At 38.0% G+C, this 22,801-nt stretch overlaps 1 protein-coding gene across 7 annotated transcripts; it reads left to right on the forward strand.

Moving 5' to 3' along the window:
* INSIG2 (insulin induced gene 2) lies at nt 37-22,563 on the forward strand. 7 transcript variants are annotated; one of them, XM_047444640.1, is made up of 6 exons: nt 37-546; nt 7,985-8,366; nt 14,763-14,887; nt 18,303-18,469; nt 18,656-18,755; nt 19,847-22,563. In XM_047444640.1, exons 2-6 carry the CDS (start codon nt 8,123-8,125, stop codon nt 19,886-19,888), a joined length of 678 nt encoding a protein of 225 aa, XP_047300596.1. In that variant the 5' UTR covers nt 37-546; nt 7,985-8,122; the 3' UTR covers nt 19,889-22,563. The 7 variants fall into 7 exon arrangements, with proteins under 7 accessions (XP_047300596.1, NP_057217.2, NP_001308260.1 ...); NM_016133.4 differs by having other exon boundaries at nt 37-107; NM_001321331.2 differs by having other exon boundaries at nt 37-107; nt 7,985-7,992.
* The last annotated feature ends 238 nt before the right edge of the window (nt 22,564-22,801 follow it).

Here is a 22,801-nt window from a genome sequence, read left to right on the forward strand (position 1 = left end):
TCGTTGGCCGCACAGGCGCAGTGGAGCTCGGGCGGAGTTGTGGGAGTGGAGGAGGAAGAGGCGGTAGGGGGTACGGGGGCTGGTCCCAGAAGATGGCGGAGGCGGGGGTGAGTTGGGGGTCTCCCGGCGAAGCGCGGGTGACGTGGTGCTGAGGAAAGCGGCCTGAGGAGGAGGGTGGCCCTTGGGAAGAAGAACTACTTGTGTTTTTGCAGCCTGGGAACCCTGGTGGCAGGTGCGGGGAGCCAGGACCACTGATGGGCCTGCAGGGCAAGGGGCTCCGCTTACCTGAGAGGGGTCCGCAAGGTCCAGAAGGGGACTGCGGGATCGGGGAGGGGGTATAGGAGGGGTCGAGGCTCCCCGGACAGTGGATGAGTGTCTGAGCGGGAAGAAGGCTGGAGGACGGCGAGAAGGGCGACCCAATGGTCTGATGAGGTGGAGGTCAGCGAGCTGTCAAGCATAGAGCTGCCAGGACTTGGGGGCTTGTAGCCTGGGAGAGAAGACTCAGACTTGGGCGGGGATTGGATCCAAAGAAGACAGGTTGTCGTAGTAAGTTTATAATCCACTAAGGAGATAGGGCATTGGGTTGAGGAGTAATACTCTGGCATTTTTGACTGGAATTGGTTACCTATGGAATAGGTGTTTCGGTAAAGCCAAATAATTCTTGCCAGGGCCTAGAAGTGGATTTGATGATAATTACTAGATTTTAGGGTTGCTTAGTGGGGATTGGCAATATGGAGAAGGAAAGCAGTGTGGATTATGGGAGTGGGCGCGGGCAATGGCGCTAACACTTAAGTGATAATGACCCATGTCCAGTTAACGTTGGAAAAAGTTGTTAAAGTATGATATTAGCTAGATGCTCTAGGAAAATATACCATGAAGAACTTGCTGTTTTGTAGGATTGATGAAGAAATGCTTTAAAAAGGAATGGTTAGGCTTGGCAGCTGGGCCACTGAAACTGTTTGGTATCAGTATTGCGGTGGAGCTGAGGACTGCAGGGGAATGCGTGCTCCCGTCCTGGTGCAGAAAAAATAAAAGCAGCCAGACAGTAGCTAGATGGTGTTTTGTAACTTTTGGGTTTGGCCCTGATAGTGAACCACTGAATGAAGATGGATGAAGGGAATGCTACTAATGGGGGCCCCAAAGAAAACAAAAATCAGACGTGTGCTCTTCCTGTTTTCTGTCTTTCATTCTTTCCCTGTACTTTGTGCTCAGTACTGTGTTTTGTCATTGTGTTATGTCGTAGTTCTCAGTTCACATCTGCTGTACAGTGACCAAGCTGTGAATCATGTCCACTCGGGAAAGAGGTTGATTCTGTTTAACTGACAACTGTTGCTTTTGCAGATGGTCACACGGAAAAGGAAAGAATAAAATGCAGTTCAGTAGTTTAAAGAGTTTTCTTTGTTCTCAGAAACTTATCTCGAAACGATGGAGTAACTTTTTTAGGCACTGAGATGTGACATTTAAAACCTGTAAGGGGCTGTAAATGCAGCTAACTTACTGGTTTCTATGTTTGGGTTTTAATGTTGAGAGGAAAGAGTTGCAGTGTTTATAAGGCAAATATTGCTTTTCTTCCTAGAAATTTTTAACGTCTCTAGCCCATGATACATGTAGATGTGTTTTTATTTAGGGAGCATTAAACTGTTGCATTGATTTAAGTCTGTTTTTTTCTAATGTTAGTGCTTATTCTATTTCAAGAATGCTATTCTAATTAAGAGAGCATATGATGAAAAATATGTGAGGTAGTAATTTAACTTTATTATTTAGTAGCTTACGTGACCTAAGCACCTGAAGAAACAGGGTTATCTGAGGGAGTAAAAATACTTCTTTTACGGCTAATCATTGGAAGAGGAATGGTCTTGTCATTTGGTTTTAGGGGGTGTTGCAGTTGTTACAATGCAACAGGTTCTTAAGGTTACTAGAAGATTTTGTATGTGTGTTTGTTTTCAAATGCTTGTTGCCTCTAAGTTGTTTCAGTGGCCAACATGAACCTTGATTTTTATTCACGAAGCTCATAATCACTTATAACTCTTTTTTAACCTGAAAGTAATAATATCAATCCATTAATAGGCAGCCATACACCTGGAATAATGTTTTTCCAGTATTGATGATTCATCATTGATCTATGCAAATTATTTCAACTTTTTTTCTTTTTGTTTAGTATTGTACTTTCCAGAAATTTTAGGCCAGGGCTCAGCGTAGAATTTTTCAAGTCTGGTGGAAAGTTTTTCTTTGTGAATTGTTGAAAACATTATTTTGGTATTAATAGTAGTTTACCAACATGATTTTAAAAACGGTTTCTTGTGTGGCACTTAAATTGTTTTGTACCATGTTTGTGAATGGAAGCAGTGTGGTGAAGCAGGAAGAACTCCGGACATGGGGTCAGAGTGGGTGAGCCTAGTCCTGGTGCTACCTGGTAACAGTTCTGTGATCTTGGAAAGTTACTTAACCTATTTTATTTTGTAAAATGGAAACTAACAACACCTGCCTATTTACCAAGATTGTTTTCGAGAATCTATTGACATATTGTCCTTTAAACAGTATCTTTATACCAGAGACTTTTTCCCTGGTCAGCAAATTATTTGTCAAGTAATCTAAATTTTTCAAATATAGATTTTTAAAAAAAATTTTGGAGCATCAAGTTTATCATTAATGTAAGACTAATATTTAAAGATATAGATCCACTTTGTTTTAAGAAAATGGTATCAGTACAAAATCAGAAAAACAAACTTCAAAGTAAACTAAGGGAGCTTACTTTCCCTTGAAAATAACCCACTCCTCTGACTCCTCTAGTGTGCAACTGATATTATAAACATGCTTTTAAAGGAATTTCATTGTTGCATGGTAGGGGGTGAAATGGTTTTGTGGACGCCTCTATCCCTTTGATGAGTCTGGTCATTTTCTGGCATTCACTATACACGTTTGTGGTAATAAGAACTGATGGTACTGTCTTAATCTTGTTAATCCAGTTGACTACTTTGCATGTCATTGGCCTTGCTAATAGAGTGAGAGAATTGTTAGATTACTGATTCTTTACTTTGTTTGGATCATGGACTTTTTTGAGTACTTTATATAAATTATGGAACTTTCATCCCAGAAAAAAATGCATATATATACAACTTTTTTGTTTTGTTTCGCATGGGGGTCTCATACCCCTTGGAATAGATGATTTCCCAGTTCCCTGCTATTTCTTAAAGCTTTTATTTTTTGTCACCAGTAATTATATACTATTGTATTATGATGTAGTTACAAAATTAGCTTTTTGAATCTCATTCAAATAAATGTCAAGCAAATGTGTTATTTTTAAGGAAAACTTTTGGGGCGAAGTAGAAAACTAAACAAGCACTGCCAGGAAAGGTTAAATAAGCAGCTGTGGTAGAAAACATAAATAAACAGAAAGTCTCTAGCTGTCTTGAAATAGAATGAAGTCTGTAGCAATCAGTGGCTCTCATTGTGGGGACAGTTTTGGTTATCACAAATAGGGGAGGGGGCATTTAGTGGGTGGGAGCCAGGGATGCTAAATGTTTTGCAATGCTTAGAACAGTCTCACACAGCAAATAATTGTCCTGCCTAAAATATCAGTGCCCTTTGACAAATGCTGGTCAGTGTGAGATGGGGGCTAGCATGACTGAAATAGCTTTTTTAAACTGAAGTTATTTTCCTTTTTAAAAATACTATTAAACATAAAATACCCCTTTCCATTAATTCCCTTTTGGAAAAATCACAAACAGAAACAAATGATACGCTGTCTCAATGTGGGTTACTCAAAGTATGCCCATCTTCTAGCAGCTGTTAGCAGCACGTGAGGGCAACGTGCTGTGTCTACTGGGATCTGGGGAAGTAAAGAGTCAACTAATGTTCTTATACAGAGTGTTAGTTTGCTATTTTTTCTTTTTACTTTAAAACATTTTCACACCTTGATCTAGTACTATTAAAGAAAATTTCAAGGTGATTTTACATTTATTCTCATCATCTTTGTGCAATTGTATAGTCACCTGCTTGTTTTGGCTTACTATCTGAGAGTGTATTATAGTTGAGATGGTATTTCAACATCTAACCATCTTTTCAGTAACCAAACACTTTTATATAGAACCATCTGCCGAAAAAGAAGTCTGAGCAGTTGAGATGGAATGGAATTCAAGGTATAGAGGCAAGAGGATGGGTTTTGGAATCAGACCTGAAGTGGAATTTCAGTTTTGATACTGCATGTCATGTGACCATAAGCAAATTGCTGAATCTCTTTGACTTGGTAGCCTCATCTGTAAAATGAGGATGATAATGTCTACCTTTATGTTTGTTTTGAAGAGTAGAGTTACTATATGTCTGGCAGGGAGTAGGCCTTCCATAAATGGGTGCCCTATAAAGAATAATGATGATGATGATGAGGAGGAGAGTTCTGTAGCTACTGAACCTTGCTAAAAGCAACCAGATGATGATGATGATGATGATGATGAGGACGAGGAGAGTTCTGTAGCTACTGAACCTTGCTAAAAGCAACCAGATTATGATGATGATGAGGAGGAGGAGGAGGAGGAGAGTTCTGTAGCTACTGAACCTTGCTAAAAGCAACCAGATGATGATGATGAGGAGGAGGAGGAGGAGGAGGAGGAGAGTTCTGTAGCTACTGAACCTTGCCAAAAGCAACCAGATGATGATGATGATGATGATGATGAAGGAGAGTTCTGTAGCTACTGAACCTTGCCAAAAGCAACCAGATGATGATGATGATGATGATGAAGGAGAGTTCTGTAGCTACTGAACCTTGCCAAAAGCAACCAGATGATGATGATGATGATGATGATGATGATGATGATGATGGAGAGTTCTGTAGCTACTGAACCTTGCTGAAAGCAACCAGATGATGATGATGAGGAGGAGGAGGAGGAGGAGGAGGAGAGTTCTGTAGCTACTGAACCTTGCCAAAAGCAACCAGATGATGATGATGATGATGATGATGATGAAGGAGAGTTCTGTAGCTACTGAACCTTGCCAAAAGCAACCAGATGATGATGATGATGATGATGAAGGAGAGTTCTGTAGCTACTGAACCTTGCCAAAAGCAACCAGATGATGATGATGATGATGATGATGATGATGATGATGATGGAGAGTTCTGTAGCTACTGAACCTTGCTGAAAGCAACCAGATGATGATGATGATGAGGAGGAGGAGGAGGAGGAGGAGAGTTCTGTAGCTACTGAACCTTGCTAAAAGCAACCAGATGATGATGATGAGGAGGAGGAGGAGGAGGAGGAGGAGAGTTCTGTAGCTACTGAACCTTGCCAAGAGCAACCAGATGATGATGATGATGAAGGAGAGTTCTGTAGCTACTGAACCTTGCCAAAAGCAACCAGATGATGATGTTGATGATGATGAAGGAGAGTTCTGTAGCTACTGAACCTTGCTGAAAGCAACCAGATGATGATGATGATGAGGAGGAGGAGGAGGAGGAGGAGAGTTCTGTAGCTACTGAACCTTGCTAAAAGCAACCAGATGATGATGATGATGATGAGGAGGAGGAGGAGGAGGAGGAGGAGGAGGAGAGTTCTGTAGCTACTGAACCTTGCCAAAAGCAACCAGATGATGATGATGATGATGATGATGATGATGATGATGATGGAGAGTTCTGTAGCTACTGAACCTTGCTGAAAGCAACCAGATGATGATGATGATGAGGAGGAGGAGGAGGAGGAGGAGAGTTCTGTAGCTACTGAACCTTGCTAAAAGCAACCAGATGATGATGATGATGAGGAGGAGGAGGAGGAGAGTTCTGTAGCTACTGAACCTTGCCAAAAGCAACCAGATGATGATGATGATGATGATGATGATGATGATGAAGGAGAGTTCTGTAGCTACTGAACCTTGCCAAAAGCAACCAGATGATGATGATGATGAAGGAGAGTTCTGTAGCTACTGAACCTTGCCAAAAGCAACCAGATGATGATGATGATGATGATGGAGAGTTCTGTAGCTACTGAACCTTGCTGAAAGCAACCAGAATGCATGGCATGCTCATATGCCTGGATTCCACAGCAAGGAATGGTCTGCAGGATCAGGTCAGGAGGAGATGTTTCAGGGCATTTTCAGTTGGTATTTAGAGTATGTTTTCCCATGAATTAGCTATACTGTGGATTAGTTTTTTTAGTCCTTTAAGCCATAGAGTTCAATTACATTATAGACTAAGTAGGTCAGTGAGGACTAGCTTGGGAACAGAATTTCCTCTTGAATGTTGAACACAGAGCTTTGATGTGGCATAGCCCCAGTAAAAAGGCCCGTTGTCTAAGTGTTTATCACATGGAACTGACAGGTTGTGGAGGTTACTAGTACTTACAGATATTCTCATTTTCATACTAGTTATTTGTAATTCAGCCCCATTCTCTGCGGTTTACATGAGGGCTTTGTTCCAAAATTCATTCAAAGGTTGTTTGATACTGGAAAACTCAGAGGAAATGTATAAATTTTATGTGATGATTAGGAGCTAGGTTTGCTCTCAAAAAGGCCTACTTTACCCTATATGGTTTGATTCAGAAAGAGTTAACCCAATTTAATTAAGCAAATATGATTATGTGGAGCTCCCACTGTGGGCTAAGCAGGAACTTTTCTGGGTGCATAGGCACAGTGATATTAATATAATAGTGAATAAGACCTTCATAAAACATTTACAATCCATAAAGCAACTATACCTTTAATTAGAAAGTAGTCATTATAAGTGCTACACTTTTTAAAATAAACTGCTTTTGGATTGAAGGAAATATCATTTCTGTACCGATTTATGAAAGTGCCAAAGATATATTGTTGGATGGGATAAAAGTAAATTACCTGTGTAGTATTTTTCCCATTTAAAAACTGTTAGTATTCATAGAAAACATATCAAATATGTGACAGTTTGGGAGACTGAACATCATGGTAAGAATGAGGGCTTTGGAGTCAGACTGCATGGTTTTGAATCCCAGCTTGGCCTCTTACTGGAGATGTGAACTAGGTCAAGTGACTTAACCTTTCTTTGCTTTTTTGCGTCACCTATAAAATGTACATAATAATTGCACTTACCTCTGAAGGTTATTGTGAGGATTAAATGAATTACCACATGTCAGGTGCTTAAAACAGCACATAGAAAGCCCCAAAAGGAAAGATCACTTTGGTTAGAGGAATGAACAAGTACCTAGACTGATTGTAGTAGCAAAGTTTTAGGTTTTAGGAGTCAGGGACCAAGTGGATAAAACTCCTTAGAATCTAGCCATTAGATTGTTCTTCATTTTCTTCACTTCCTTTCTTTTGCTTCGTCCTCCAGCTTTCTTACAATCCCTTCTGTGATTGCAACAAGGGCAGACTGTTGAGACAGGAGTGGGATACAGTTGTGCCCCTGGGGAGAGTGAGTCAGGTCTGGTTTCTGTGTTTGGTGTATATGTAGGTGTGTGCGTGGTGGTCTGGTTTTGTAGAATGTTTTTGTGCGGATAACCAAATAATAAACATTAAAGCGGGTTATTTTGTTCTTCTGTGGAGGTTGTCCTTGTAAGCAAGTAACATTTTATTGCAAAATATACAGCGTCTTCAGTCAGAATATGCTTATCTGTAAAATATAAAATACAGTATTGTAACTGATAGGCTTAGAGATTTAGGGAGAAGAAACAGAGAGCAGGGTTTTACCCTCCAGATTCTAGTGGAAGTGTCAGATTACCTGTTCTGCTTTTCTCAGAGATGGAGCAAGCTGTTTCTACTATGATTCTAACCTTCAGGTCTCTTAGGTCATGTTTTCTGTCCTAGGAAATGTAAGGGTAGTACTTTATTTTTTATTACGTCTTGCATATAAAAATACTTTTAAAACTTTTTCTTATTCAATAAATAACTGTTAGTAATTTGAATAAATTAGTATACAAGCTTGTCATTTTCTTATTTGTCCATTTAAATTAACTAGTATTGAAATCAGTAAAATTACAATAATCATGTATTAGATACACATTAATTTCTTTTTTCTTATCTCTTGCAGGATTTCTGGTAGGTCCTACTTTAGGACAAGATGTGGTACCGTTGAAGCGTCAGTCTTTGATTCACAGACAGTTGAGCTTTTCAGCTGGGAAGCCTTTCCATTTTTTTTTTTTTAACGGCTTTCTGAACCTATGAAACCATGGCAGAAGGAGAGACAGAGTCACCTGGGCCCAAAAAGTGTGGCCCATATATTTCATCTGTCACTAGCCAGAGTGTGAACTTGATGATTCGAGGAGTAGTGCTATTTTTTATTGGAGTATTTCTTGCATTAGTGTTAAATTTACTTCAGATTCAGAGAAATGTGACGCTCTTTCCACCTGATGTGATTGCAAGCATCTTTTCTTCTGCATGGTGGGTACCCCCATGCTGTGGCACGGCTTCAGGTATGTGTAGGATGTTTCTGTAATGCTTAGAAAGGAAATAGGGTAAATGAGTATGGACGTTGTCTGAGCAATAAACCTTTTTAAAAAAGAAAATATATTTATTGAGATATAATTTAGGTATAATACACTGGACCCGTTTGAATTGAACAACTTGATGTGTTTAGGCAAATGCGTACAGTCACATGACCACTGCCAATCCAGCTGTGGAACATTTCCATCACCCTCCAGAGTCTCTCGTGTCCTCTTGCAGTCCATTCCCCACCCCCAGCCTCAGGCTACCACTGATCTGCTTTCTGTTGCCATAAATTATTTATCTCTGTTCTAGAATGCAATATAAATGGGCTCATAACGTATGTACTCCCTTCTGTCTCATTCTATCTGTCCTGTAAACTTTTAACATTTAATTCTGAAAAACAATCCTGTTTCCCTTAGGGATGAAGCATTTAACCCCTTAATTTTGTTCTTTCTTCAACCCATCTCATCTAAGTGTTATTTTAAGTTATTTGGATGATGAGCACCACCATTTGGTTTTAAGGGTTTGATGCATGTGCTGTAGTCTTGTTTCTGAAGTAATAAAAACTTGAATAATTAAAGTTTAAAGCTTCATGTTGTATTTTTGTAAATGCTTTTTTCCTTGGTATCTTGTTTTTATAAGTACCTTAGAATAATAAATATTTAAAGACATCTATAAGGTAGACTCTCTTTGCTTAAAATTAGTATCCTATTAGTTACTTTAGATATTTTTTTGGTGGTGGGCAGTGTGTAATGCATAGAGTAGAGCATTTCACAATACTTTATTGCTGCCATACTTCCACAATGGATAGCACTTTAGTGTTTTCTAATGACCAAGACCAATAGATTAATACTGTTTTTAATAATAAAGTAATAAAAGGAAACCATAATCATGTGGTAGAAGATAATTCTGATTGAAGGAGAAAATTGCTTTTTAAATACCCATTTGGTGTCTCATACTTAACATATATGAATGAATATCTTGCAACATAATATATGTCCTTCTTGGCTTCCATCCAAGAGCGGGAGGTTGAAGGATGAGGTTGCGCTTTACGGAAGTGTTAGAATGGCCTTGTGAAACTTGCTGGACAATTATAGAATCCTGTTGCACAGTTAGAGGGGCACTGTTGTAGTAAGGCTTCAGTGTTTATATACTGATGTCTCACTATTACATCGTTCACATTAAAAGTGAAGTCATGAAGGCAGTGATTCTTAGTTTCCCAGGGTTATCATTCTCCAAGAGAAAAGGCAAAAAATAGTCCAAATAAAAAACAAATTAAATTGTATCACTCTGCTGTATGTACTGGTCCTCATGCATTTTTCTTTCATTTAAATTCAGAAGAGAAAACGTTTTCTCAACAACTTTTCTAGTTCTTTGTTTCTTTTCTTCTATAGTATAGTCTGGCTGCCAGTAGAAGCTTTTTGGGACATGGAAGAGCATACATGTCTTTTCAGGATAGAACAGAGGGAAGGGAAACTGTTGTTTATTGAATGTCTGCTAATGTGCTAGGTACATCCTGTAATCCCAGGGTTCTGTAGAGCAACTTTGGGAGAGAGATGTTTGGCATTGTGCCTGTTATGGGGAGATGAGGACACTCACTGAGATGAAGAAAGAAAACCAGTGAGCCCAGGGTCCCAGAGCCAGTGAGTGGTGTGACTGGGTCCACATGTCACATGCTGGGGAAGGGAAAAGGAAGCTACTCACACTTTTCCCCCTACTCAGGATGCCACTTTTCAAGCCTCCAGACTGGGTGCCAGACCTAGATGGAATTCCCTGGCGTGTGTTGTGCATTTGGGCTGGGGCAGGAGAACTTAACTGAGGTTTCATTGTACCTCCACTATGAAGAGTAACAGGGCTGCACCTGCTGTCTTGTCCTTCTGCCCCTTTAATGTCAGCACTTTTGCCATAAACTTACATTTTAGGAAGGAAAATTTCAAATGCTAATACCACAGTTCAGCCACTACTTTCCTTCCTGTTCCCAGCCACTAGGTTTGTCACACTTACAAACTTAACCTCATTTGGGGAATTTGCATTTACATTTCTTGCTTAAGTATTTCTTCTGAAAGCAGTTTGTACCATAAGGTACTTGGGCAAAAGAAAGTAGAGAGACATTAGGAAATCTAGATTCCAGCCAATTCTGCTACCAATTTTGTTAGTTAAGTCATGGTGTTTAGTAGATGAGAGTGAAAGATATCAGATTTGTCCAAGTTGCCAGAGATGGAAAATGGATTCTCTCAAAATCTCTGCTCTGCCATCCCCTGCATCATTATTTTAGGGAAAGTATCATGGGAAAAGAAGTAAATGATTTAAGAAACATAGTGTGTTTGAGTTTGTGTGTGTATGTAATATGCATATGTTTTTGTGTATATGTGTTGGCGTGGATTTTCAAGACCTCGCTAGGGTCTTACCATCTTAAGTCAGAAAAACTGATAATCATCCTTTGATTTTCCTGTTCAACTAACATTCATAGATAGAGCAGCCACCTTTTGGAGGGGCTCCAGAATCACCACCTTCTGTGTGTAGAAAGTGCTCCTTGTTATTTGCCACCTTTCTCTATAGCACAATCCTGGAAAATTTGCTAGTGGTGGTTCTGGTGGGACAACTAATAGAGAACTTTGGTAAACTAATTTTGATGACTTTTTTTTCTTAATTCCATATTTTTAGTTTGATAATGCTGATGTTACAAGTTAACTTCCTTATGTGTGCCATGCACCAGAATTGGAATTAGAAATCTTTTCAGCATTATTGAGGGCCACAAAGAAATCTTTCTAAAGAATAAATAGAAAAAGACAACTCGTGTGGATAAAATAAGTAGAGAAGTTGCCTCAAAAATCACAAGTAGCCTGGTTGTGTCCAAACGTATGAAAATAATATCTAATGTAAAAAGAAAAGAAAAATCTTTCCTGTTTAGCTGTGCAGTCCCTTGCCCTATTCCTGTAGAGCCTTGTAAGATTCCTTGCTTTCTCTCCCGTTCTACATCCAGTTTCCAAGTCTTACATCTTTCCTCTGTCTCTTTCTTGGTCCATCCCTCAATGGCTGTGCTTGGAGTCTTTAGTCTTTGCCGGCCTCTAGTTTTGCACCCACCCTTTTCTCAGCCCCCTTGTATGGTACCCTCACTGCTAAGAAGATGGCCTCTCTCTGGTACAACAGTGATGACATTGTTTTCCTGATTGCCCATTGTCTGCAGGGTAAAGTCTTTATAATATGGCCCTTGACTGCTTTTTTCTTCTTCAGAGTCTTTCTGGACCCTGCAGCTCCCTTTGTGTCTGAAGCTTACAGCTTCCTCTTAACACCAGCAGTTTCCAGTTTTCCATGAATGTCCTCAGCCACCTCCCTTTAATGAGAGCACTATTTCTGCGCCATTTACTGCTGAATGCTCCTGCCTCAAGGGTCACCTCTTTCCGTGAAGCTTTTCTGACAGCCCAGCACCTTGCCTTCCCCTAGCACAGGCAAGGAGAAGCCTGGGACCCCTCTGTCCTGTCAGCTGCCCTTAATGCAGGATTGTATTTAATTGTTTCTGTGGTCACTTTGCAATTGGAATCGTATCTTACTCTTTTGCCTTTTTTTTTTTTTTTTTTTTTTTGAGACGGAGTCTCACTCCGTCACCTGGGCTGGAGTGCAGTGGCGCCATCTCGGCTTACTGCAACCTCCACCTCCCAGCTTCAAGCGATTCTCCTGCCTCAGCCTTCCGAGTAGCTGGGATTACAGGCGCCCACCACTACGTCCAGCTATTTTTTTGTATTTTTAGTGGAGACAGGTTTTCACCATGTTGGCCGGGCTGGTCTCAAACTCCTGACCTCGCGATTCGCCTGCCTCGGCCTCTCAAAGTGCTGGGATTACAGGTGTGAGCCACCACGCCTGGCCTTACCTTTTTAAATCTCCAGCAAATACCAAGAACCAGACATATTGTCAGGGCTTAAGTATTTGTTGAAGGAAAATATTATCTTATAGTTTTGCGTCGAAGTATACCTCATGGAGTGTTTTCGTTTATTCAGTTCCTGTTTTCTTACAAAATGTCTGACTTTAACTGTGTTCCTTTTAGTGCCTCCCTGCATTTAAGCACATTCCCATAAAAAAGTGATGACTTACTACTGATATTTTACAAACTTCTTTAGTGTTTAGCTTTGGTAGACTGTAACTAGTCACTGGGAAATAACTTAAAGGTATCACAAGAAATGTGATTTTTGCATCAGAGAACCATTTGATTTATAAGCAGGATTGTGTTTGCATATGATTTTACACAGGCATGATTTTAACAGTCTTTCTTGTTTTTTTTAAAAAAAAGTACAAGAAGAGGAAAAGAGGCCCAGACATACTCTGTTGAGCTCTCAAACAGTGGAACCTCACAGTGTTGTATATATTGCTATCAGACTCTGCCATGCCTTTATTTAAAGGAAAGAAAGAAGACATTTAATGGGAAGTGACAAGCTTCTTCGAATTCTCCCTCTCAGTGAGCAACTGAGAACCATGCATACTCAATGGATTTGATTTTTATTGGCAAATCCCAGGGTTGGCAGTGTGGCAGTTTAAATTTCTTTTTGTGTTTTTGCTTTCTCTCCTCAGTTGTCTCTCACTTGCAAGTCTGACATCACATGCATAAAAATATAGTCGATTTTACTTATTTATACCTTTGCACATACATGTCAGTATTCTCTATGTAATAATTCTTTACCTAGGCATCAGTTGCTCAGGAAAATTGACTTGGAATGTCTGCTCTTAGTTGACTTTACTCAGCAACAGGCAAAGGGAGGATATATATGGTGGGGGGATGGGGGTGACAAATGAGCTGTTAGTTTTATGACCCCTTGAGAAAAAAAGAGGTGATATTCGTTTAACTACATTTCAACTGTTAGGGATGCTTGTTGCCATTTTATTTGTATAGAAATTTTAAAATCCTGTCAGTTAATCTTGTCAGGATTTTGGAGCAGATTTTTAAATAGGAATATAGTGTGAAACTTCTAGATTTACTAATAGTTATTGGAGCTCTGCATTGCCGAGATATGTTCTTAATCTCTTGATGTTCTGTGAGCCATCTATACTCAGCACATGCCTAACTCAAAAGAGTTGTGGACTAGAAAATGCATACAGTATTGCAGCATCTCATCTCGAGATAGAAGGGTGGTCACACAGCCTTTTTCAAATGCTGCACCATTGGTCTGCTAGGCTGTGATTTTTGATACTAATTGGTTTCTGTTTTTCTTCGAAGAGTGAATGCATTGCCTGTGAGATACAGCTGGCTAATACTGGGTAGGGGGAGGGCCTCTTGTCCCTCAGGCACTTAGATTTTGGCGTTGTAATTTCATGATTCCTCTTAAGTGGTATTGGTTATTTTAAACATGCTTTTCAACTGATGTGACAGTAGTGTCTTTATTGCCAGAATGGCACAACATAATCATCCTGTTTTTAGGAAGATTAGAATATTTTCATTAAATAGTCTTTTTAATAACTAATTTAGCACTTAAAATTCCTTCCCACTAAATGAATAAAATGTTGAGGTTTGAGAAATAAGAAAGGGATGAGAATATTTTGGGACTCAATCATTGACATTTTATATACAGTTATGTATAATTAATGACACAACATTCAAAGTGTTCTTTCCAAAACTAAGAGAAGTACTAAGATGATTTCTTCTTCTAACAGTGCACTTAAAATTTAACTGAAAATTTTAAATACCTCTACACCTTGTTTCCTCCATTGTTTCTATGTGCAGAATGAGTCTTACCTGTAGATTTCTGTTGTGAGTTTTCCTGCTTTGACAATATGACCTACAGCCTCATTAAAGGGCTAGAGTGGAAAGGAGTGTCAGTAAAAGGTGCTACATGCTGAAGACTAAAACGGGAAGCTGGTAGGGGCGAGACTGATCTACGTAAGAGGCCAGCCAGAACCTTCAGAACATTGTGTGTATGATGAGCTTGTTGTATACTTTTATACTTCTAGATTCTCTTAGATTTGTGGCATATAATAAATATTTTATGGTTTGGAGTTTAGAGAGAACATTACTTAACTGCTAACTGGTTTGATACTTTTTTCAGGTCTCGTAGGTATCAGTAGTAGAAAAGTAGCATGAATCATTTAGTAGCACGAATCATTTAGTCCAGTCTGCTAAATTGTGAATCATACATTTGAAGAGTATTTTGTTGATTATAATTTAGAATGTTGTTGTAATCATTTGCAATACTTTCTTCATTGGTGTTATCCTCATTTCATTTCCTTTGGAAGGTAAGTTAAAAAATATCGGTGATTGATGTGAAATAACTTTTTTTTTTGTTTTTTTTTTTTTAAGAATCTTTAAAATGCTTGTGGTGGTTGTAGTGATTCTTTTAGCTTAAGTGTTGCCAGTACAACATTGGAGGTAACTTAATTTTTTTCTTTTTTCCCTACAGCTGTGATTGGGTTATTATACCCCTGCATTGACAGACATCTAGGAGAACCACATAAATTTAAAAGAGAGTGGTCCAGTGTAATGCGGTGTGTAGCAGTCTTTGTTGGTATAAATCATGCCAGTGCTGTATCCTTTACTCTGTAATGAAATGCATAATAACAAAGTGGCTTCCAACAAACCAAAGGTTAAACAGCCCCTTACAACTTCACTGTTGTCAAATTATGATATGCCCACTTAGTCAGAAGAAGAATGTCAACCATATTGTTGAAACATCGGTGTAGCAGCTGTGCAATTATAAAGTGGGGTATAGCCTTTCATTTCATTGTGTATTTTTCACTATCACTTAGAAACTTTGCAAATTTGAAAACTTTACTTGTTTTTCTTAAATTTGGTTACTTAATTACTTTTGTGTAGTTAATCCAAAAATGGAACAGGTACATTTTCAGAGGAGTTTTTTCCTCTCTTTCTTTGTTAAGAATTGCTAATAAGTACATGTGGTAGCTTCAGGTGCTATTTTGTCTTTTGTTTTTCTTAACTTAAAGAAGCTTTTTTTTTTTAAAGGTAGATGCATTGGTTTTAATCAATACCGACAAACCACATAAACGGCATAAGTAGAAATACCAACTTAGACCTTGGCCAAAAAATAAGTTTCTACCCTAGTACATATTTTCAAAGTTTTATTGTTTGAAGATTCAGACATTTTATTTAGTGGTTAATGAGTATTTTTACAGTGTCTCAGGTAGCCCCTATTCCCCTTCCCCTTTCTACCTTCTCTGCCCAGAAAAAAATGTTTGCCCTCATAAGGTTTTCCTCCTATCATCCTCTTTATTTCCTCTCTTGTACTTCCTCCTCATTTGCTCTGACTTTCCTTGGTAGAAGAGGAACTAGGAAATGCTATTCCTGTCTTTTTCTAGGAGATGTGGTTTAGACAATGAAGGTGGCAGGAGCCTTGGGTACTTGGAAAAGCAAGAAGTGTGACTCAGGCTGCCAAAAGTTTGCTCTTATAACTCTGCACTGGACTTGGGGCAGGCAGAGTTAGCTAGCTGGAGAGAGAGGGTGGGTCATGTGTCAAGTAGACCCCTGTGTCTTTCCCAAAAAGTATTGAGGTGTTTTGGATAAGCTTGGGGACAGAAACCATAGAAAAGAGCAGGGTCCTAGATTCTGAAAACACATCTGCCTTCCTCTGCACAGTTGTGCTGGCTGTTGCAGGTCTGTGAATTTGGAAGTCCCTCAGTGGCTATTATTAGTTTTAATTTCTGTTTGTATTGAGGACATTTCCACATGTTTATTTTGGTGAACTTTTTGAGATTTAAGATTTTATAAAAAATCTAGTGGTCAGGAGGGCTTAAAAAGTTAAAATCATATACTATTATATCTAGAAGAGAACTTAGAAATCACCTAGTTCCACATTTTCTTTGTAAAGATAATAAACAGAAGCTAAAGAGGTTAGGTAATTTACTAAGTCATTTATACTGCGACATTGCAGCAGAGCTGAGAACAGCCCTGAGACAGCCTGACTAAAGTCTAGAAACATCTCATTTTCCTACCCAGGAACCTCAAAACTGTGTCAGTTCCTCTCTGTCCGGTGGATTAGATCTTTCTCTCTTAGACACTTCCACTTTGATTTTTGTTTTTAAGTAGAGAAATTTAAATAGCCTTTTCTGAAATTCTAAAAACTTAATAAGTTCAAATTCTTTGCTTTGTTCACTCTCTTTCTCAATGAAATACTTAAATATAGCAATCTTAGATATCCTGTTGTCCTTCAAGTAAAGTCCAACATGTTTACCAAATTTATAGCATACACTTCTAATATTAGGTTACTTAGACTTTACAAAATCATTTGGCACTATTTTTTTATTTTTTGAGACGGAGTCTTGCTCTGTCACCCAGGCTGGAATGCAGTGGCACAATCTTGGCTCACTGCAAGCTTCGCCTCCCGGGTTCACGCCATTCTCCTGCCTCAGCCTCCTGAGTAGCTGGGACTACAGGCACCTGCCACCACACCCGGTGAATTTTTCTGTATTTTTAGTAGAGATGGGGTTTCACCATGTTAGCCAGGATGGTCTCAATCTCCTGACCTTGTGATTCGCCCACCTCGGTCTCTCAAAGTGCTGGGATTACAGGCATGAGCCACCGCACCTGGCCCATATGGCACTATTTTAAGATTGATATATCTATTTACGCTGGAAGCCTCCTTACTTCGCTGTGACTTTTAATTAAGTTTAGTTAGCAAACATGAAACTCATTTAATACCAAATTCCACTCTTTACATGAGTGTTTATTTCATAGGGAAATCAGAGCTCTAAACCTTTTCTTTGAACTTTAAGTATAATGACAGCATAACAATAAGAAAAGCTTTTCCAGAAGCATACCCATATGAACTGTAGGTTTCTTTTTAAATCAAGCCTTAACAAGGAAGGACCTTGAGGGAGTTGCCCACAATAGTCCTGAGATTCTGAGAAATAAGCAAGCTGGGTGTTTAGGATACTTGCTTGGTAGGGGTGGGGAAATGGTGAAAAAGAGTGTTAAAGGAAGTGGGAAATGGCTTCGTTGCAATTTCTTTTTTGGATTTCTCTATACGTGCAGCATGGTCAGTTTGGTGATACGTGTTCTCCCAAACCTCCCCCGCCTTCCCCAGTAGCTGGTTATAGAGCCAAGATGTGGCCTTTGGGACATAGATAATGCCCTTTTAATGACACTTGAAATTAATTCCTTTAGTGTAATCCTCTAGCAAAGAGATGAGAAAACTGAATTTGTAAAGCTTAATTTTACCCAGAGATTTTGGTGTAGAAAAGGGCCATACATTTGTGAATAGATGCTTAAGTAGGTGATGAAAATAAAATATCATTTGAGCAAACTGTCCTATACCAGAAAGTCTCAGGCACCAAAATAGCTTGGCAGGTTGTAAGATAATGTTCACTTCAAGGCTTTATCCTCAACAAATTAAAACTAGAACAGTTGACATAATAGAAAGGGATACTGTGTCCTTGGTACTCTTGTTTCTGAACTGCATTATTATAAAATGTGTCTGTCAGTAAATCATAGAGAGAATGTGGTACCCTGTTAAATAGCTGTCAACTCTTCTATTTTCAAGTTCCTGTACGATTCTCAAGTAATTCTAAACCTGTTGGAGAAGTAATATTGGTTTCCTTTTTTGCAAAAGTGTGTTCCTTTAGTGATACTTGTGTTCTGAGGCTTCCAGTTACATTTTTAGCAAAGAAAGCATTTCTTAAATAATGGGTAAAGCCTTATAATTGGGAATGTATGTAGACTGTTCTTTTTGTTTTGTTTTGTTTTTTGTTTTGGAGGGGTTACAGTTGGTAGGATCTATTGATTAATGTCTTTTGTGTATCTGGTATTGGGTAAATACTGGAGACAGTTTTAATCCCACCTAGCTTCATACATTGTACTAAGAGACTGAATGTACTTGAGTAGAAGCAATTAATTCCCTTCTCAACAGAGGCATCTCTTATTTAGAAAAATGAACAGATGATATTATTTGGTTACAACTTTTAAGATGACTTCTTAACACTGATCTCAGAAAGTGGATTTCGATAACAACATACAGTTGTCTCTCACACTGGCTGCACTATCCATTGGACTGTGGTGGACTTTTGATAGATCTAGAAGTGGTTTTGGCCTTGGAGTAGGAATTGCCTTCTTGGCAACTGTGGTCACTCAACTGCTAGTATATAATGGTGTTTACCAGTAAGTATTAATCCTTCAATTTTTGGTGCTTGTTTGCTAGATAAATAAATGATAACCGCTTTCAGAATTGAGATTATGAAATGAGGTTAGCCAGTTTAATCTACAGAGTAGTTTATTTTCATTGTAATTATCTTAAGTGTCATTGCAGTTCCTCTGTGGGTATTAAAGACATGTCTGTTATTCTAGATATACATCTCCAGATTTCCTCTATGTTCGTTCTTGGTTACCATGTATATTTTTTGCTGGAGGCATAACAATGGGAAACATTGGTCGACAACTGGCAATGGTAAGCTGATGCTCACTTTTCTGAATAAGATGTGGAACAAATGACAAGTTTTCTCTAAAAGGCAGTCCTTTAAGGGAAAGCAATTTGTGAAGACAACATTCTTTGATTGCTTTTTTGCACTTCCATTGAAATAAATCATTTGGAAGAATTTAATCACAGGTGTTTTAAAAGTTGAGGAGCCACTGGAGAGAAAAACTCAAAATGTGTTATGGATAGGGCAATATGATTTATTGACCATATGGGGGATATTAGTGGTTTTTAAAAAACTAATCTACAGGTCTCCCACTATATCAGAAAAGGACAGTTTTAAAAGTTAAAAAGGTCACTACTAATAAGTGTGTTGCTACAATAGGTATACATTAGGACCACCTCTAACAAATCAAGATGTTTGATCATTTTAGTGATGAAGGAAAAGGAAAAGGCTAGGGAGTGACATTCAGAGGCCACAGCAGTTTTATGAATCAGTGCTGTCACTTTTACCTTTTTAGCCAGGTTAGGAGAATTGAGTGACTTACTTTGCTGTATTTTTGGTAAAATAGCCAACCAATTATCTTACCCTGTTGGTTTCCTTTATTTTGAATTGTGGGTGTACATTTTTATAGCTGTACTTTAAAAATGTTGTTTTGACTGGAAGCTTTTGTTAATGTAACAGATTTTTTCCTTTATATCATATAGCAATTTGAAAATACAGTGATCTGAGTTCACCACAACAGCCCTATCCTTAAGTTCATGAACTATTCTTTGCTAATTTGCCTTATTGAATACTCAAAGAAACCTGCTTTGCTTCCTTTCGACATTAAAAGATTGATCTAAATTCTAAATCATATACTGCCACTACTTGCTTGTAATGCAGAAATCTCATCTTTCTCTTGCTTTTGGCTGTGGCTTTTTCACTTCCAGAATGTGAATTATTTTTTTCCCTGTCACATTTGTCATTTAATCATAGTAATTATGTAACTCTTGGATTATTTGAGGAATAAATGGGCACATAGTAATAAAATGTTCATTTTTAGAGCTTTTCAGTTTATTTGGAAGTTGCTATTCAAAAGAAGTCTTAATCTGTTAACCTTTTAACCTTTTAATTTTTGCAGTACGAATGTAAAGTTATCGCAGAAAAATCTCATCAGGAATGAAGAAGGCAAAAAATATCTTTTGTACAGAAAAGCAAGATGAAAAGGATGTGAAATGGTAGATATACCAACAAAACTTCAGACTGTAAAATTGCCAGGATGCAGTTTTCCCCTTGATTGGCGTGTGTGTATATATGGATAAATATATATATACACACACACATATTACTGCAATCTGTGATTGCTTCATCTGTAAATCAGTTGTAAACCTTTACATATTTGACTTAAATAACTGTAAGATATATATGTACTACATTAAAAAGTGTTGATTAATAGATGAAATTTTTAAATTAATTTTTTAAAACATGCCATACATTGTATCACAATGTTAATGTGCCAAGATATTGTTCCTGTCATGCAGAGTATAAGAATGCTTTGAACAATTTGTAGACTTAGTGAAATAAAATAAGAGGAAAGCCAAAAACAAACAAACAAAAAGCATATGGGGAGCTGGTATTTTCTCTTTAGCTTACTGTTGTGCCTTTTTATTTTTCTAATCACAGCAGTATGAGTTATGAGTGCCCTAATTTGTGGTTAGTTTCTAATTTAATGTTGTTTCATAGAGTTTGGAGTGTTTTGATACAGGGTGAAAATGAACTTCTGGTTTCAAACCTGCGTTACTGGAGACAGCCCAAAGAGTAATTTTCTGTTTTGACAGGTTTTACTGGAAGTATATGTGATGAGCAGAAGAGGTTATCAGCATTAAATTGTTTTGGTTCTAAATTTGGAACAGTATATATAATTAAAAGTAAGGAACATTAGAGGATTTAATTAGAATAAATACATGTTTTGGAAATACAGTGACCTCTTGCAGTGTCACAAAAGTGCAAAGTGATATTAGCTGTCATCTGCAATACAGAATCTCATTGCTTTTGCACATGGAGCATATAGGAAACTCCAAACAGATCACAATGAGGTTTCTAAATCTGTTGGGTTCTGTCTTCTATTGGGTTCTGTGAAGCAAACCACTGTAGCTTTAGCTGGGTTCAGTCATATGACTCGTTGGTGGAATGCCTAGGTTTTTCATCTTACATGCAGTCTTGGGGGTGGATGAATACATAATTTCTCATGTATTCGTGTATCCATTAGTGAATAGTTCAAGTCTGTTTAAGAGTGTATTGAGATGGCATTCTCTGCATGTTAAAGATCTTAATGGCAACCAGCACCTCTTAAGTATGGTTTAAACATATTCTTAGCTAATTTTTTCCATTAGTTTTTGAAATTGGTGGCAGTTGTCTGATCCACAAGGGCAAGATCTTCTGAGTACTCTGGGGTGTGAGTATGTGTGCACACGTGTGTGTTGGAGTGAGTGAGAGAATGTGTCTGTGCATGTGGCCATGCTTTCCTAGAATGTCAAGTAGATATTTTTACACTTTGAGTTTTAAAGCAATTACTATCAGACTGAGATCTTGTATGCCAAACTTTAATCTGCTTTTATGTTTTCAGGCTGAAGGTGTGAAAATCCTAAGAGGATTTCATATTGAATATGTGTACACAATCTTAACTATCGTGGTGGAAAACATACTACTATAATTTATTATTATATCTTCCAGATAATGTTATTCATTTAGAACAAATAAGGTATATTTTTTAGAATCAACTTTGTAAGCACTATAAAATCTTTAATAAGTTATAAGGTCTATGATGTGTTTACTTTAAAAATTGCTGTTAAAAGCAACACGTATTAAATATGTAATTATCATCTGGGTTAAGAGTCTGTTTTTCTTCTTTGTGGTAAGTCTTAGAATATGGTACTGTGGATTAATCTAATGAAATTAACATATGTGGTTGAAGTTACCAAGAAACGATGAAAAGAAACTAAATATAGTTGACCCTTGAACAACAGGAGTTAGGGGCACCACTCCCCAACATAGTTGAAAATCCATGTATAACTTTTGACTCCTCCAAAACTTAACTACTAATAGCCTACTCTTGATGGGAAGCCTTACCAATAAGAAACAGTTGATGAACACATATTGTGTATGGTATATGTATTATATACTGTTTTCTTACAATAGTGTAAGCTAAGGAAAAGAAAATGTGTTTACTCTTCATTCAGTGGAAGTGGACCATCCTAAAAGTCTTCACTCATGCTATCTTCATGCTGAGTAGTAGGCTGAGGAGGAGGAGGAGGAGGGGTTGGTCTTGCTGTTGCGGGGGTGGAAGAAGATGTGCATTATTAGTGGGCCCACACAGCTGAAAACCATGCTGTTCAAGGGTCAACTGTGTGTGGTATCGGTGAGACTGAATGATTATCGTTGGTGTTCTTAAATTATTTTCAGGTCCTCTAGAAAATAAGATAATTATAGCAAAAAATAAAATTGTTTTGAAATTTTGATAAATATATAAATGTATAGAACCTATTTTTTTCAATGAAAGAAAATGGGAAACATTTTTTAACATTGCTAGATTGGCAGTGCTTTCTTTTATTATTTCAAGTTATGGAAATTTGCACAGTTGAAAACTGGGGATAAATTCTACAAAAGTGCAAGAAAACAATTCAAATTAGCCAGAGCCCTGCTAAAACTTTTAATGTAAAATTTATTTATTTGCACTGAGCTGTTTTACCTTCTTTAAGGCCATTGGGACCTCTCAATGATGCATATGTTTCATACATCTTGTATTTTCCAGGTAGAAGTCAGACTTGGTTAATACCAATAAATACTTCTGTAATCCTATTGGCTCAGTTACCTTTATAATGAAGTATATTCTGTGTAAGGTAATTCTTCCAGTGATGGTCTGAGTAGTAGAGTCTTAGCTTTGTGTGTCTGAAAAGGTCTGTTTCATTCTGAAGAATAATTTAGCAGGCTGTAGGATTCTATGTTCATAGTTTTTTTCCCTCCCTCAGCACTTTGAAGATTTTTAACTCATTGTCTTCTGTCACCTAATGTTACAGATAAGTCTGCCATTACCGTA

The sequence above is a fragment of the Homo sapiens genome, chromosome 2 (assembly GCF_000001405.40).
Source record: "Homo sapiens chromosome 2, GRCh38.p14 Primary Assembly".
Classification (NCBI taxonomy): Eukaryota; Metazoa; Chordata; class Mammalia; order Primates; family Hominidae; genus Homo; species Homo sapiens.

Coding starts and splice junctions, on each gene's coding strand:
- INSIG2 (XM_047444640.1), top strand. CDS start 8,123: ATGGCAGAAGGAGAGACAGAGTCACCTGGGCCCAAAAAGTGTGGCCCA. Junction 8,367..14,762: donor ATGCTGTGGCACGGCTTCAG/GTATGTGTAGGA, acceptor TTTTCCCTACAG/CTGTGATTGGGTTATTATAC. Junction 18,470..18,655: donor GTATATAATGGTGTTTACCA/GTAAGTATTAAT, acceptor CTGTTATTCTAG/ATATACATCTCCAGATTTCC.